This window comes from Homo sapiens, chromosome 13 (genome assembly GCF_000001405.40).
Source record: "Homo sapiens chromosome 13, GRCh38.p14 Primary Assembly".
NCBI classification, from domain to species: domain Eukaryota; kingdom Metazoa; phylum Chordata; class Mammalia; order Primates; family Hominidae; genus Homo; species Homo sapiens.
In genome coordinates, this window is record NC_000013.11 from 34,305,431 (window position 1) to 34,323,251 (window position 17,821).

At 37.7% G+C, this 17,821-nt stretch overlaps 1 long non-coding RNA gene across 1 annotated transcript; it reads left to right on the forward strand.

The window, feature by feature from the left end:
* The first annotated feature begins 4,211 nt into the window (after positions 1–4,211).
* On the forward strand, positions 4,212–16,413 carry LOC124903154 (uncharacterized). The gene is made up of 2 exons (XR_007063755.1): positions 4,212–4,305; positions 15,149–16,413. It is a non-coding gene; the product is annotated as an uncharacterized LOC124903154 (long non-coding RNA).
* The last annotated feature ends 1,408 nt before the right edge of the window (positions 16,414–17,821 follow it).

Sequence of the window (17,821 nt, forward strand, 5' to 3'; positions counted from 1 at the left end):
AAGATGTCGTCTGTCACCATAATTATTCCATATGGTACTGGAAACCCCAGCTAGAGCAATTAGACAAGAGAAAAAATAAAGGGCATCCAAACTGGAAAGGTGGAACTCAAATTATCCTTGTTTGCAGATGATATGATCTTATATATGGAAAAACTTAAAGACTCCACCAAAAAACCCCAAAACTATTAGAACTGACAAACAATTTGTAAAGTTCCAGGATACAAAATCAACATACAAAAGTTAGTAGCATTTTTACATGCTAACAATGGGCAATCTGAAAAAGAAATTAAGACAATAACTTCATTTATCATAGCTACAAATAAAATAAAATGCCTAGAAATTAGCTTAACCAAAGAAATGAAATATCTGTACAATGTAAACCACATAACACTGATGCAATAAATCAAAGACGAAACACAAAAATGGCAAAACATTCCATGTTCATGGATTGGAAGAATCAATATTGTTAAAATGTCCATACTACCCAAAGCAATCTATAGGTTTAATACAATTCCTATCAAAATGTCAATGACATTCTTCACAAAAAAAAAATCCTAAAGTTTATATGGAACTACAAAAGACTCAGAATAGCCAAAGCTATCCTAAGCAGGAAGAACAAAACTGGAGGAATCACATTACCTGACTTGAAATTATACTACAGAGCTATATTAACAATAATAACATGGTGCTGGCATAAAAACAGACACATAGACCAGTAGAACAGAATAAAGAGCCCATAAATATACTCGTAAACTCACACATCTACAGTGAACTTATTTTTGACAAAGATTCTAAGAACATACATTGGGGAAAGGACAGTCTCTACAATAAATGGTGCTGGGAAAACGGGGTATTCATACGCAGAAGAATGAAACTAGACACCTCTCACCTTACACAAAAATCAAATAAAAATGGATTAAATACTTAAATCTAAGACATCAAACTATGAAACTACTACAAGAAAACATTGTGGAAACTCTCCAGGACATTGGAATGGGCAAAGACTTCTTGAGCAATACCGACAGGAACAGACAAAACAACAACAACTACAACAAAAAACAAACCAGAAATGGACAAATAGGATCACATCAAGTTCAAAAGCTTCTGTACAGCAAAAGAAACAATCAACAAAATGAAGAAACAACCCCCAGAGTGGGAAAAATATTTGCAACTACCTATAAGACAAGGGATTAATAACCAGAATATATAAGGAGCTCAAACATCTCTATAGGAAAAAATCTAATAATCTGATTAAAAAATGGGCAAATACCTGAATAGACATTGCTCAAAGGAGCCATACAAACAGCAACAGGTATATGAGAAGATGCTCAACATCATTGATCATCACAGAATTGCAATCAAAACTACAATGAGATATCGCCTCACCCCAGTTAAAATGGCATTTATCCAAAAGACAGACAATAACCAATGCTGGCAAGGATGTGGAGAAAGGGGAGCCCTCGGATACTGTTGGTGGAAATGTAAATTATTACAGTCACTTTGAAGAACAGTTTAGAGGGTCCTCAAAAAGCTAAAAATAGAGGTACCATATGATCCAACAATCCCTCTGCTAGGTATAAACCTAAAAGAAAGGAAATCAGTATATCAAAGACTATTCACAATAGCCAAGATTTGTAAGCATCCTAAGTGTTCATCAACAGATGAATGGATAAAGAAAATGTGGTACATATATAAAATGGAGTGCTATTCAGCCATAAAAAGAATGGGAGGCTGTCGTTTGCAACAACATAGTTGGAAATGGAGGTCATTATGTTAAGTGAAATAAGGCACAGAAGGACAGACATTGCATGTTCTCACTTATCTGTGGGAGCTAAAAATTAAAACAATTGAATTTACAGAGATAGTAGGAGGATAACTACCAGAGGCTGGGAAGGGTGAGTGGGCTGTGAGGAAAGGGAAGGTGGTTAAAGGGTACAAAAAATAGAATAAATGGGATCTAGTGTTTGCTGGCATAACAGGGTGACTACAGTAAAAAATAATTTAATTGCGCATTTTAAAATAGCAAGAGGAGTGTAATTGGATAGTTTTAAACACAAAGGATAAATGGATGAGGTGATGAATACCCTATTTACCCTGATGTGATTGATGCAGGAATTAAAAAGAAGTTACTTAGGCAGATAGTAAGAGTATGGAAGTCCTCAGTAAGGTTTTCCTTTTAATGAAAAGCAGCTCCAAAATTATTTTCTTTTCTAACAAAGAACATCCTGTAAAATCGAGCTTCAGACATAAACAAGCAAGCTGGAAGCTTGCATGGGTTAATGCCAGCAGTTGTGCCCATAGGAATATACTGCCTGGGACTAGGCAAGTTCAAAATGGCAGCTTTATCTTCTCTTTTGCTAGCCACGTGTACAGTAAGGAGCAGACAAGTGGAAAGCCCATTTGCATAATAAGATCAGGGTAGGGCGAACAGCCTTCCCTGGGCACTATGTAAACATCATGCCTGGTCAAACCAATCTGTGAGCCCTACATAAATCAGACATCACGTCCTCAAGCCTGCCTATAAAATAGGTTGCAGTCTGCCACTTTTCCCTTTTTCAGACTCCTATCTCTCACGAGAGAGAGAGCTGCTCTCTTCTCTCCTTTCTTCTGCCTATTAAACTTTCCATTATTTAACCCACCCACGTGTCCATGTCTTTAATCCTCTTGGCATGAGATGACAAAGCCTGGGTATTTACCCCAGTGATGCCGCTTCATGATTATTACACATTGCATGCCTATATCAAAATATCTCATGTAATTCTTAAATATATATACCAATGTAACCAACATTAAAAAAAATTTTTTTTAATGACTACAACATATCTCCCTCAAGTTCTAAACATTAGAACTGATTGGGGAGGGCCAGGCATGGTGGCTCACGCCTGTAATCCCAGCACTTTGGGAGGCCGAGGTGGGCGGATCATGAGGTCAGGAGATCGAGTCCATCCTGGCTAACAAGGTGAAACCCTGTCTCTACTAAAAAGACAAAAAATTAGCTGGGCATGGCGGCAGGCGCCTGTAGTCCCAGCTACTCGGGAGGCTGAGGCATGAGAATGGCGTGAACCCGGGAGGCAGAGCTTGCAGTGAGCCACTGCACTCCAGCCTGGGCGACTGAGCAAGACTCCATCTCAAAAAAAAAAAAACAAAAGAAAAAAGAAAAAAAGAACTGATGGTTAGATGTTAGGTTTAAACAGCAATGGATTTCAGTCCAAGGACCAGGACCCTTGTGCCAGTTGCTCAGAGACAGCTATAATATCACTTTATGTTGTTGGATCTCAGCCTTTTTCTCTGTGAAAAGTGGAAATTCCAGACCTAGACTGTCTCACAGTCTTGCAATTGGGATCAAGTAAGAAACTACATATGAATAAGGTATTAGGTAATTGACTACAATCTGAAATAGTGGGTGTTTACATACTCTTACTATGTTTCTCTTACCAGAGGAGTTCACTTACCAGTCAGTGAGTAAGTTTTGATTTCTACCACATGCCCAAAATTCCACTGGTCAAAAGTAGTTAGTTCATGTCTGCTCTTGCCTTAGCCAACTGTTCATTATACGGAAAGACCAGCAGTTTTGTTAATAGAGCCATGGAAAGCTCAAAAGGAAAATATGCACTTGCTCCTTCTTCTAAGAACTAGCATTCTCCAGAATGGTAGATATTATTTTGATGGAGATTATTGTCCTCCTGGTAATATTTTCTCTTCAAAAGAAAATTACCTCTCCCATCATTTGGATAATAATTTTAAAGAATTGTGTCTGCAATAATACCACCGATACAGGATACAGTGGACAAGAAGGAAATGGAACAATAGAATGAAGGGAAGAAACTGTTAAAAACTGAAAAAAGCAGGGAGAATTGTGGAAGGATTGAGAATGAAAAACTAGTAACAAAGACATTCTGAAAGAGAGATGCTAATTTAGCAGGAAAGATAGTACAATTTTCAGATCAACTTAGAAAACCACATTACATAACTCATCTTGAGTATCTTGACTACGTCGCACAAACAGACAAAAAAAAAAACACACACTTCAAAGTGATAATTTTAGAAGAAAAGCCAACCAGTACATGGATCTGTGTTGACTCCTACGTGTGGAAAGCGGGATGGTCTAGTTGAAATGCCTATTTATATAGCTTACTATGTAGACATAGTGATTTAATAACTCTGCAGTTATGTATATAATTGACAGTCTTATCTTTTATTCATTTTTCCAGGGTTGTGTTTACTACAGACTGTCTCATCTTGGAGTTGTTTATGTCCCTGTCTGTCTTCTTTACCAGGGGGTGGATTCCTACAGGTCCAAGCCAGGTATAATTCAATTCTGTATCACTGACAGCCCCTAGCACAATGTCTATCACACACTAAAGCTTTAACAAACTCTTAAAAGTGAATTGAATTATTTCAGACTTTATTATCTTCTCTTTCTGTGTGCATCCGTGTGTGTGTTTGGTGGGGGTGGGGGGGCGGTCTGTGTGTTAAGCTTTTCTGGAGAATTGCATTTTGGTTTTAACTTCTGAAGTTAGAAATCTGTCAATAGTCACTAAAATACCAGGGGGCCAATTCTGATAACCTGTTTACTAAACAATGCCTAGGGAGTAATTATCAATCTGTTCTTGATGGAGTCTGTCTGCACTCAGACTTAGGGTAAAGAGAAGTCTGGGTTACAGAAAGCAGACGGGGCAATTATTCGCGACAGTGGGAAGAACAGGTAGAAGGGAGTAGTGGTGTGTATACAAATGAAATATAATACAAGCCATAATCCTTACCCTTAACAAAATTTAAAATCTGTTTAGAGGAGAAGAAAAAGGCAACGGAACAACTAAGCAATTATCTGATAGAAGCAAATCACATATTTCTTTACATAATGGGAATATTTTGACAATGAGTGATAGAAGATATTACAATTGTTCCCCGCAACAAAACTGATTCAGCCTCATTATCCTCTATTTTTGTTTAGCTATCCCAGGGGAAGATGTCTAGTTCAAACCTTCCTGATTAGTTACTCCCACTCTGTTAGTTTGAAAACAGTCCTCTAGCACTGGAACCGAGGGACATGGCTCAGGTTGGCAAGATCATTATCCTCATCAGTGAACTTGATCTCCTGAGAGTCCTTTCAGATATATTGGAGAAGTGGCATTTGAAAGTAATTCCTGGTGTCTCTTAATTGAGAATAATATACACCTTCCTGATACAAGTGATACAGCTGCTTTTCTTCGCTTTACCCATATGTGGCAATTTTTCACTCAGACTGAGAATGTGTGTAAAGACCAGTGAGTGACTGTGACAACTGTGATTTTAGACAGATAGGCTGAACATAGAAAAGCCAAACCCGTCTGATGTCCTTGGCATTCTGAGTCTTGCTGTCTCTGCTTACACCAGCTCTCAGGCTAAAGGATGCTGCCATCGCCTAGTTGTTAGTTTCAAGTCCCATTGTCCTTATGGTGATTTTGGGGTTTTAGATCTAAAAATATCATAATATTATTTTTTACTGGGGGATAAAGGTAAAAATGAAAAAATATTCCTTTATTATATGAAGAGGGAATGCTGTTTACAGGAGACATTGAAAACTCAGAGGCTTTTAATGTTTCCTTCACTTTTCTGAATCCAAATGAGGATAGTAAAAGACCTAAAGATGAAAGGACAGAGTGTCATACTTAAACAAAGAATTATCTATTTCATGATTACTTAAGTCAATTGGTTGTGTTCACATCTGAAGTTGCTAATGGATTGTGCTTATGATACTAGGCAAAATGGCTATGATAATAGAGTTTAATACTGAAAACTTGTAAAGCATATTTAAATAGTGTGAACACAGCAAAGAAGAAAAGGAGGGAGAGAGGGAGGGAGGGTGAAAGGGGGAAAAGTAACTGGTTTTGAATCAAAGAAGAACTTTGGAATTCACATGCTTATTTTTCCAACATATTTTAACATGAGAATATAAATTCTATAAAAAACAACTAAATTCACATTGCCAACTGCTTATATACAGGAGAAGCCTTTGACAACTCTTTCTGTGTTTCTCTCTCCCAAATCTTGCCAACATAACAGCAAACATGAGACATGAGAGACTATATATACAGAAGTTAAGAACATAGGCTTTGGAACCAGCTTAATGAGTTGAAAGTATAATCAACCTCTTACCTACTGGGTGTCTTGGAAAACATTATCTACTCTGTCTGTGCCTGTTACCACATTACTCTATGCCTCAGTTTCCTTATCTGCAGATCTGGGATGTAATAACAGCACTTATCTCACAGAATTTTTGCAAAGGTTAAGTTGACTAGTACATCTAAAGCACTTAAAACAGAAACTGGCACATTGTAGGTGCTCAGCAAATTAGATACCCAGTCTCACAGTTCATTGACCATCCCATATAATTCTCCTTTCTATCTCAGCAGTTTACTTCCCAAGTCTTGGTCTTCTACTGTACACAGAATGACCCACTTTCAAACATTTAAATTTTGATATTCCTGGATCCTACTATACCTGCTATGCTTTTATCTTTCTTCCTCCCTAACCTTGGTCTCCAACAACTTTGGAATTTTCTGTTCACATAAACAAAGTTAAAAGAGAAAAAACAGATTGAGGGAAGATACTTGTAATCTATATTGACAAAGGAATAGCGTACAGAAATAAAAAGGTTTCCTACAAATCGCTAAGAAAAAAAGACTACTAGATGGAAAAGTGGCTGGCCAAATGGAATGAAAAGAAAATTCATGGAAAAAAAGGGAACATCCAAAACCATGAAAAGTAATCAGGAAAAGTAAAGCAAAAATGAAACATTTCATACTTTATAAAACTGGCAATAATGTGATACCTAAATTTACCAAATGTTGGTGAGGATGTTTGATAGGAACTCTCAGATATTAGGAGTGGGAGTTTAAATTGGTATCCATACTTTGAAGTACAATTTGGCAACGCCTAGTAAAGCTAGGACGTTTGAGCATTGGATACCGTTGGATGCCTACTAGTATCTTTTCTCAATCCCGTACCTTTTTTATAGAAAGCTGATTTTGTTTGCCTAGCCATTCCTTCCCCAGTACAGTTATGTGTTTCAATGGAAGAAGATATAACCCCCAGTTCTAGGAATGGGGTTGATTTTTTTTTCTAAAATGATTATATTGCCACTGGCAGTGACACAATTGCAGCTAATAAATTATAAGGGGAGGTCTTCTGGGAGTATTCTGCAGAAAGATTATAATTCCTAAATGATTGTCCTAGGAAAAACAGCCTTCCCTCTTCTTGTGGGCACTTTTATTTGGATGTCACATTTGCAAATGTTTTAATCATTCCACTACTAGCCTGAAAAGAAGCCACACCCAGGATGACTGGGTGGAAGATGGAAGGGAATGGTTCCTTGACAACCTTATTGAGTCTTGAATAAACCAACTCTATAATGCCAACTCCACCCTAAAATCTCCTTTTAAGTAAAATAAAAATGCTTTCATTTAAGCTAGGTTGCACTGAAAGTTTTCATTCTTATTGGCAATATCAGACTATTTCTAGGTATGTATACCTCAGAACTCCCACTCAAATATAAACGGATGTATGTAGAAAGATGCATTTTGAAGCAATCTTTGTAAAATCCTCAAACTGCAAACAATTATCTATCTTCAATTGAATAGTTAAATATGCTTTAGTATAATTAAGTAATGGAAGACTATAAAGCAATTAAGAATGTATTAAAATGAACACATTTGATCTGTTTTTATGGACACAGATATATATCAAAATAATAATATACAGTGTAAAAAGAACAAGTTCCTGAACAATATGTACAGCATACCATTTGTGTAAACTATGTAACCACACAAAACAATACTATTTGGGGCCAATTGGAATGTACACATAGAATAATCACATCACAAATGATCAGTAAGGCTGGGCTCGGTGGGTCACGCCTGTAATCCCAGCACTTTGGGAGGCTGAGGCGGGTGGATCAGGAGGTCAGGAGATCAAGACCATCCTGGCTAACATGGTGAAACCCTGTCTCTACTAAAAATACAAAAAATTAGCCAGGTGTGGTGGCGGGTGCCTGTCATCCCAGCTACTCGGGAGGCTGAGGCAGGAGAATCACTTGGACCCGGGAGGCTTGGACCCGGGAGGCGGAGGTTGCAGCGAGCCAGATCATGCCACTGCACTCCAGCCTGGGCAACAGAGTGAGACTCCATCTCAAAAAAAAAAAAAAAAAAAAAGAAAAGATCAGTAAAAACATACATACAATCATAATAGAGGGAGTGGATGAAACATGCTAGAGTTATAAACACAACTCTAAGTGTATCCATAATATTTTATTTCTGATCAAAATGTAAAACCATATATGAAGAAATGTTATCATTCGTTAATGCAGCTTAATGACAATATGGGTTTTTCTTATATTACTCTAATTTTCTGAATGCTTAAAATAATTCATAAATATTTTCAAAAATAAAATAAATTTTAAAATAAAGCCAATTAAAAGAAAGAAAAGAGATAAAGGAAGTGGAACTGGGGATGGGATTGTCTTTCACTATTAAATTAAAAGAGTTCTTTGTTGTTTGACTACTATAACTCGCATGAATTTCATTATAATTTCTTCAAAGCAGAGGGTTTTGAAGAGAAATTCAGTCTCTTTCAGACCACCAATTCCCTCTTTGTTGCAACTTCTTCCCTAGTTTGACTGGACAATATGGTGGTTTGCTGTATCCCCCTCTTCATAGGAACTTGTAGTTTTCTATGTGTCTTTGAGAAGTTCACAACATGTTGAAAATAAACATCAATGTATGAAACCGCTGGAGAATACTACACTCTTGGCATTCCTTCAAATCCTCCTTGATTTTCTCCCTAGCTCAAACCAATAGTCAAATTTTTCTTTTCCTAAGCCCAGCTATTGAGAAAATAATCACTGCAGTGATTATTATGCGCTAATTTATTATGCGCCTTAATCCATCTTTAACCATCTCTGTGTGCTTTGGGTGACATCTTTCACTCCTGAAATTTTCATTACCACCATACACTTTGCCTCTCAAATGTGTAACTCCAGTCTAATCTCTACACTCAGCCTCAGGCTAGGCTTCAGCTTCGCTATTAGACTTCTCTATCCAGTTACATGAAGCAGAACACATTGTTTTACCCAACATAAGAATGGGCATGGTTAGGGTCAGTACTAGTAATCTATAAATGGAAGCTAGGCAAGATGCAGAATCGTGGACTGATCAATGCAGTTCATTTAAAGATGGCGTTAACTTCCTGACACTCTTTTCATTGGCTCTGAAATTTTTGACCCTCTTCTCATTGAGAGGTAGGGCCCATGACTCTTCTTCTTGCATATGTGTGGATTTTATGACTGTTTTGATGAATAAAACATGGCAAATGTTAACACTGTGCCAAATTCTGAGCCTAAACCTTAAGTCACTAGTGGCTTCCATTTCCTCGCTCTCACCTCCTGACTGTGAGTTCTGCCACCGCATCAGGAGTCCAGCTACCTCATGACCACCATGCTGGAGAGGCCATGTAGAGCTTCCCCGGCTGCCAGTCTCTGCTTAACCCAGTGTTCCAACCACGCCCCTAAAGTGACAGATCTGTGAATAAACCATCTCAAGCCTTCCAGACAAACCCACTTACCAGCTGAAGACCACTGGGAGACCCTGCAGAGCCATGTGGAGCAGAAGAATCACGCACTGAGCCCTGCTCACATCTCTGACCCAGAAATCATGAAATACAACAAAAGATTTTAAGATACTAAGTTTTTGAATTTGTTATCGAACGATAGACAACCATATAACTCCCTCCTCTCCAGGGCTATTTAGTGGGCCTCCTAGAGCTCTACATATTTCTCACCCCTGAAACATTTTCCAATTGCTGTGGGACATTAACAAATATTTACATACTCTGTCAACGCGAAAAAAAAAATTATATAAAGTAAAATTTTAAGATTCTCTTTTATTCCCTATTTTCATCCCTTTCTCCATCTCAAAGTTAATCACTGCTCCTATTAATGAATATTTAGATTATTTCTAGTTTTTTATTAAATAAAACAGTGCTGCAGTTAACAGCCTTGCACATATTCTCTGTAAATTTCAGATTCATAGAAGTCAAATTACTGAGGCATAAGTTATTAAAATTATAATACATGACACCAAATTGCTCTCCCTCAAAACTAAAATCTTTGCTTATTTATATTGTCACCAATATTTCACAATAGTGTTCATTTATCCAAATACTGGCCACCAATGGATGTTGTCATTTAGATTTTGCCACTATGAGTAAAAAAAGTGGTAGCTTATTGTTTTAATTGACATTTCTCTGATTATTTGTGAAGTTTGTAGCATATTTTCATGTGTTTATTACTACTTGGGTTTCTTCTTCAGTGAATTCACTATTGATAATCCTTTTTAGAAAAAATTTTATTAGATTGTCTCTTTGTGTTTATTGTTTTGTGGCAGCTCTTTGCATTCTGAATATTAATTTGTTGCCTGTTCTATATGCCACAAATACTTTTTTTCTAGTCTGTGGTTTGTCCTTTATTCATTAATTAATTTATTTAAAAGGTATTTATTGGAAACTTTGTGCCAGGCATTGTTACTAAATACCGGGAATACAGATGTGAGTAAGACAGAGTCCCACTCTCTTGGACTTAGTTTATTGTGGAAGATATACAGTAAACAATGAAAGACAGATGTAATGTTTTATAAGTGTTACAAAGAGTAATAGAGTTGGGTAAGTGACATACAATGATGAAGTGTGCTATTTAGATAGGCCAGTTAGGGAGGCCATTTGAGTGCCAAAATGAGCTGACATCTGGAGGCAAAACATTTCACTCTGAGGATGTAGTGTATGCAAAGGCCCTGAGATGAAGGAATAACTGTTGTGTTCCAGAAACTTGCAAGGAGGCTGGTTTGGCTAGAGGACCACAGTCCTGTAAATTGTGGACTGTAGATTTACTTCACTGGAGGATGAAAGCTATTCAGCATTTTGAATAGGGAAGTAATGCAATCCGATTTCCATCTGAGAAGGACCAGGCTGGCCACTGGGCAAGATAGGCTGGGTGTGTGCACGTGTGGCAAGGGGTGTCGGGAAGAATGGGAGCTGAAAGATCACAGGGAAAGTCATCGCCTTACACAGGAGGTTATTTCAGTAGTACAGGCAAGAGATGACTAGACTGGAGTTTTGGCAATAAAGGTGGTAAAAAGTCACCAGATTACAAATATATTGTGAGTGTAAAGCTGACAAGTACAGTTGATGCACTATGAGGAGAAAGAGAGAAAAGATCATTCTAAGATGTTTGGCCTGAACACTAGGTGAGTGGTGGTGACTTTTGCTGAGATGATGACTTGAAGCAAAAGCAAGGAAGAGCCTCACACATGTTGAGCTTGAGAAGCCTATTTGCTCTCTCACTGTCTTCTAGGCAGAAATGCGAAGAAGTCTGGAGTTCAAGGGGGAGGCGGTGGAGGAGGTGGCAGGAACCTGTGGGTCACCAGTGCATAGACAATATTTAAAGCCATGGAACTCTAGAAATCAGTGTAGGCCTGGAGGTGAAGCTGTACCACAGCACTTCAATGTCCATGAGGGAAGAATAGGAGGAGACCCATCATGGAGGCCTTAGAAGAAATGAGCAGTGAGATGGGAGAAAACACAGGAAAGTGTGGGGTCCCAAAAGCCAAGGAAAGCATTTAGAACAGGGCCCGGTACACAGTAAATTAAAGTTAATTATGTAGCTATTAGTATTTATCCTTTTGAAGCCCTATGGTCCCCAAGTAGTCCTTTCTTCTCTGACTTCAACTAGGACTGAGATCTGTGATAGCTTTGACCAGTGGAATATGGCAGGAGATATTGTTTATACCGGATTCCAAGCTCAAATATTAAGTGACCAAGAAATAGATTTAAATTGAGGATTTAGAAGAGACTATTCTATTTGGAAATGCGAAGGTCATTGGTTACTCTGAGAAAAAAGATTTTAGTGGAGGGAGACACAAAATTCTTTTTTTTTTTTTTTTGAGATGGAGTCTCACTCCGTAACCCAGGCTGGAGTGCAATGGCGCGATCTCGGCTCACTGCAACCTCTGCCTCCCGGGTACAACAATTCTGAAGGCAGACAAAATTCTAAGTGAATTGGTCTCTAGAGAGAATGGCAGAGGAGATGGGCACACCAAGTCCATTTCAGAGAAATTTTGCCTTAGAGAACAGCCAAACTCTTCGGGGCAATTTAATTGTTCTAAAGCAATAAGAAGGTTTACTTTATTTTTGTAATATGGGAGATGTTCTTCTAAGATGTTTGTATAGTAATAACAATGAGCCAATAGATTAACGGTGTCAAAGAGAGAGCAGACAATTGCAGAAACAAGTTCTCGAGCAGATTGGAAGCTATGTGAGTCAGTGCACAAGCAAAGACTCTGAGTTTAGCTAAGAGCACAGATTTTTTATCCATTTATAAGAAGAAGCAACAAGTAAAATATCCAATGCACAGCAGGTGGACTGGTCGATGTGTTGGTCAGAGAACAAGGAATTGTTCTAATTTATTAATTCTATTTTCTCAGTGAAATAAGAAGATCATCAGCTGAGAATGAGAAGGAAGGAGTGGGTGTTAGAGGTTTGTAAAGAAACGGGAATGAATGGGCTGTTTGACTTGGGCAATGTAACTTCAGTACAAAACTTTTCAAAGCACCCTGAGCGGCAGCTAGAGATGGGTGATCACATTAAAGTTGGTCTGGTGTGTTCTTATTCAGCCATTTTTTTAGTCTCCAGCTGCATGGTTTATGTTAATTATGGCATCTTTAATCACATGTAAGTTTTTTTTTCTCTTCGTGCCGTTAACTCAGATTGGCTAATTTTTCCTGTATGGATTCTTGAATTTGTACATTCTTAAGAAGGCTCCACTTCTACCTTGAAATTACAAAACAAAATGAACAGAAAACTTCACTATTTTCTTATAATCTTGTCATAATAAATACTAACATTTTATTCCACGTGGCCTTTTCTGTATTCATAAGTGTGTGACTTATTTTTCTCAAAATGGATAATATGATGTTTCAACATTATTTTTCAAAAATCCACCTTTTCTTCTCTGAAATGTTATATTGGTCATGTGTATGGGCTTATTTTTGGACTTCTGCAGTTGTTTCATTCGTCCTTCCTGCATTCTTACCCCTTTGGTTTAATTACTGTGGTATTTTTTCAGTATTTCTAGTAAAAGTCACCATCCAAATCTCTTTTTCAAAAGTTTTATGGCAATCCTTGAGAATTTTATCTTTCAGATGAAATTTATCTTCCAGATGAGTCCAATTCAATATAATAATCTCTTTGTAAAGCATCATTTAAAATTCAGAAAAGATTTTGATTGGGATTTAATTGAATGTATAGATTAGTTTGGGGAATATTAACATTTACAACCTGATATTTTTCCATAGAGAAGCCTGTTATTCTCAATATTTATTTGGGTCTTCATTTATGCACTTCAAAACAGTTTTATAGGTTTCTTCAATGCAGAAACTTCATGGCATCTTAAAGGCATTTCTTGATTCTGACACCATAAAACAAAACCATCTGTTGTCTTCTACATGGCACCTTAAGTACATTAACATCTTTGTGCCATAGTTTCCTAGTCTGTTGAAGAAGACTTGTGAAGAATAAATGAACTAATAAATGTGAAATTCTTAAAACAGTGCCTGGTGCTGCTGTTATGATTTCTCCTTTTGAAGCCCCAAGTCAGTCCTTTGTGTTCTAACTGCATCAAACCACTGCAATTACACAAAGAACATGCACCTGAGCCTTTGCACACAGTATTCCAAAGCCATCTGAAAAATGGAGTCTGCAGACTTTCAGCTTCCATAATACAAAAGAGAGCTTAGGAGGGCAGAATGTCACTGAAAATTTCAGAGAAATGAGAAAGATTTCATATATAATTATAAAAATATGTAAAACATTATTTTAGAACTGTTCTATAGTTGGCTATTTATATTTGATGTGTCAGTTTTTTTCTTTGAGATGTTTTACATAATCTAAAAACCAGTTAAGTTAAAATAAAATTTAGTCACTAAATATTATTAAGAGGGAGGCACTTTGCAATAGATAAGTTCTGTAAATATCAATATATTTCTATATAAAATGAAAAGTACACCATTTGAAGCAGCCATACAAACACCTGACATATTTAGTGACTGAATTTCATACCTTATTATAATTTTTTCCAGGTGCATTCAATATCACTCCTTTACAAAAATAACAGAGGTATCAGTTAATCACCAAGAGGAGGAGCCCATGACAAAGCTCCTCTAGATTACTTTTTTTATCTGATGACCTGATTACCAGAAGCAAAAGACCTATTAAACCCTTTATCTCTTAAAATATATTTTTCTAGAAAATATTAAATGTTCTTAGTATCAGAAACACCCCACAGAGCACTTTGTTAGACAGAATGCATATATACTACATGAAAAGTCTTCCTATATATTCTCCATCCCCTCTCCCTTTTAAAGGAAGTGATTTAAACAAAAATTCCAGAAACTTCTAGGCTAGGCTTAGAATTTCCACAGTGGCCATTGATTGGGGAGAGAACAAAATAATGGTAAAAAGAAAAGTATCTGTCTTTATCTCCCTTTTTCTCTTATTCTCTCCCATTCTCTCTCTCTCTCTCTCTCTCTCTCTCCCTCTCCCCCCTCCACTCCCCAAATATATGCTAAAATTAGAATATATAATTAGTTTTAGAACATACTAGTTTCTCCTTTATTATTTATCAATATAGGCATAACAGCTTAAGGGAGGCATTATCACAGTGTTTTAAATCACTGAATCTGACAGCCCTGGGATCATTTTTGTAAGGCATGTTCTAACTTCCAAGAGTTCAACACAAGCTACATAGCTAACTGAGTTAAGCACTGAAAAAAGACAGCCTCAGTCTCTGGAGAATGTCTTCAGAAGAACAAGGTAACTGGGGTACTAGGTCACTGCAAATCTACTTCCGAAAATCAGTAAAACAGACAGAGGAGAAAATAGTCCATGCAATATTAATGTATATTGCATTCAAAAAAGAAATATGCTCTGACTGCCCTGCCTCTGTAACCTGGTGCCCTAATTTTACACATTCTAAGACTTATGCACTCCTAAACCGTCTGCCTGATACCTGTCCCTCCCTGAAATGTTTATGTCTCAAAATTCTTCATTTCTTCTTTTTTAGAGAGTAGAATCATCAAGATGCAAGTATGTTTGAGTGAAAAACATAACAATGTTGAATCAGAAGGAGAGAAACTACTGCAGTGGCCCAGAGGACTGCAAGTGCCTGAAAGCTCACTGGGGATGGAAAATATGACTTCCCTCTAGTTTCTTCATTCTGGGTTTGTCAAGGATACACACCCTACAGAGAGACCCCTCACCTTTCCCCACAAACGGTACCTCCTTTTCCTTCCCCTACTCAGTAGGAATGTGCTCTTTAAGGATTCTGCAAGAGCAGAACTGGTGAGAAAGGTGCTTTTAAAAACAGTGCTGTGGACTTCCATCCTAACCCAGTGCAGAGCACTGGCACAGTATGTAAATGCTTAGTATATTTCTTTTCATGTTTGTTATGATCAAAAAGTCATTACTGACTTCACCATTGTAAACAATGAAACACCAAGCTATGAGTGATGATTTAAAGTGAAAATACAGCACAGGAGCCCCCAAAACACCTTATACTACATCATGCAATAATGTAATAATCCCCAAAAGCCCAAGCCAGCAAATATGCTGCACAGAAAACTGGTAAGACACTGAAAAGCAAACTTCGCCAAGAAAAAAAGTTCCACTGAAATTTTTATTCAGCTTATGATAGTGTATACCATTTTCTTTTGGCCTTTGTAATTTCTCTGTCATTTAGTTTCTAAGAGAACATTGGTCAGCAGGCTTTATAACTGTTTTCTTCAGATGGAGAAGAATCATGATAAAGGTCACATTTCCACTGCTAAGTGCTCTTGGATATGGTGATCCTGAAGAAACTGCTGCCTGTGGAGACTGCACTGATGGAACAGGGGAGCCACAGTCTGTTAGGCATAGAAAGCATGTCCTAAGACACAGTTCATTCTTATGGAAATTTACATGATTTAGGGTTTATGTTTCCATGTAAACCCATAAAACATAATCCACACAATTTTAGAACAACGTTACACTCTATTTTATAAGGAACAGAAAAATCAGCTATATAATTTGCCATCTCCCTTGCCCAAATGTGTCAATACTTAATTGATCCTTGCTTTTCCTTTTTGGTTGAGCTAATCAAGATAAATGTAAAAGCAACGGTGCCTAAAAGAACAGGCACTCAGCATATAGTTGATTGAAAGAAATAAGAGGGAGACCCATAGAGAAACTATGAACATGATAAAAAATGTTGATTAAAACAATATAGTCATCTGGCTGTCTTTCGTTTACTTACATGAATGAGCCAATAAAATCAACGTTTACTTCACTGTATGGAAAATGTGAGTAAATATAATTCAGTTGAAAATCAAGATCTATACAATTTCAGATAGAGCAACAATTAGAGAGTCATTGAAAAGTTAGTAAGGGAAGTGGAAAAAGATAAAGAGAAGTGGGCAATGTATAACCTAGGAAGAGGTGCCACTGAGTAGTAGAGAGGTATGATGGTGAAGACAGTCAGTGCGAGGGCTGGTCAGACAGTAGTTTTCCAGTTCATCACTGGCTTCCTTGAAAGGTACCATTTTCATTCTGTAAAGGTTTCTTGGATGAGACGAGTTTTTACATGAAGGATTTGGAGGAAGTGGTGCAGCTGGCTGTCAGAGCGGAATATCATTTGTGAGCAGCAGGGAAGAATGCCTGCATGCTAGAAAGAAATGAAGGATGACGAAATGAGCCCAGTGCATTAGGCTGGAAGGAAAGCCACAGAGGGGCTGCAAAAGGATGCGCCATGGCAGTTAATACACAGCCACCTCGGGGGACAGCAGGCCTAACAATAACCATGTCAAAACTCAATTCCATATCAATGAGAAAGATGTTGTGAGGAATTCAAATCAAATAAAAATAAAGGCCATCAAAGCATACAGAGAATAGGATAGTACAAAAAGAATGGTGCCCCATCTCTGCCTCGTGAACTACATCATCCTTAAACTTCCCTGCTCTAGATTCTAAAGTCATTGTGACCAGGGGACCAAGCAGCAACCTTCGTGTTTCCAGAAATAGCAGATGATGCAAGGTTTTCCATTCAGAACTGGCAATTTTTAGCCTTCTTTCATCATTAAGCAAATAATAAAAATAATCATAGCTTGTTTTATCAAGTGCTTCTGACTTGGCAGGCACTGCTCTGTGCACTGCATGAGTGAACTCATACCATCCTCGCAAAAACTCTATGCTATTATGATCCCCATTTCTCAGTTGAGGAAAACAGGTACAGGAATGTTAAGTAACTCTCCCAGAGTCGCAGAGCTAGTAAACAAGGAGGCGTGGGTTCCTCCTGAGCCCATGTTCATGACCAATACACATTGGCTGTCTCCTGAGACACTGGCACCAGCACTGAATATGACCTTGGAAAATCTTGCACTGCCTTCCAAGGCCCTCATTTTCATAGGCAGACAGGACCTATAGGTGAACACTGAGTTATTCCGTCTCTATCAGATGCATGCCCATGGAGAGGGTTCATGGGCTAATGCCTAGGACCCAGGGAGAGTTTGACACATTTATCCTTCACATTTGGTTCATTCCTGAAAGCATCAATCCAGCTTCTAGGTCTTAGAAAAATCATTTTCACCTGATGTCTCTTCCTAACGTTGAGCATACCATAGGTTGAGCTTTAGGAAAAAAATCCGAATTTGCTTTCTGATTTAATTTTTAAAGCGATAAGGCCATCTCTTACAGCTGTCTTATC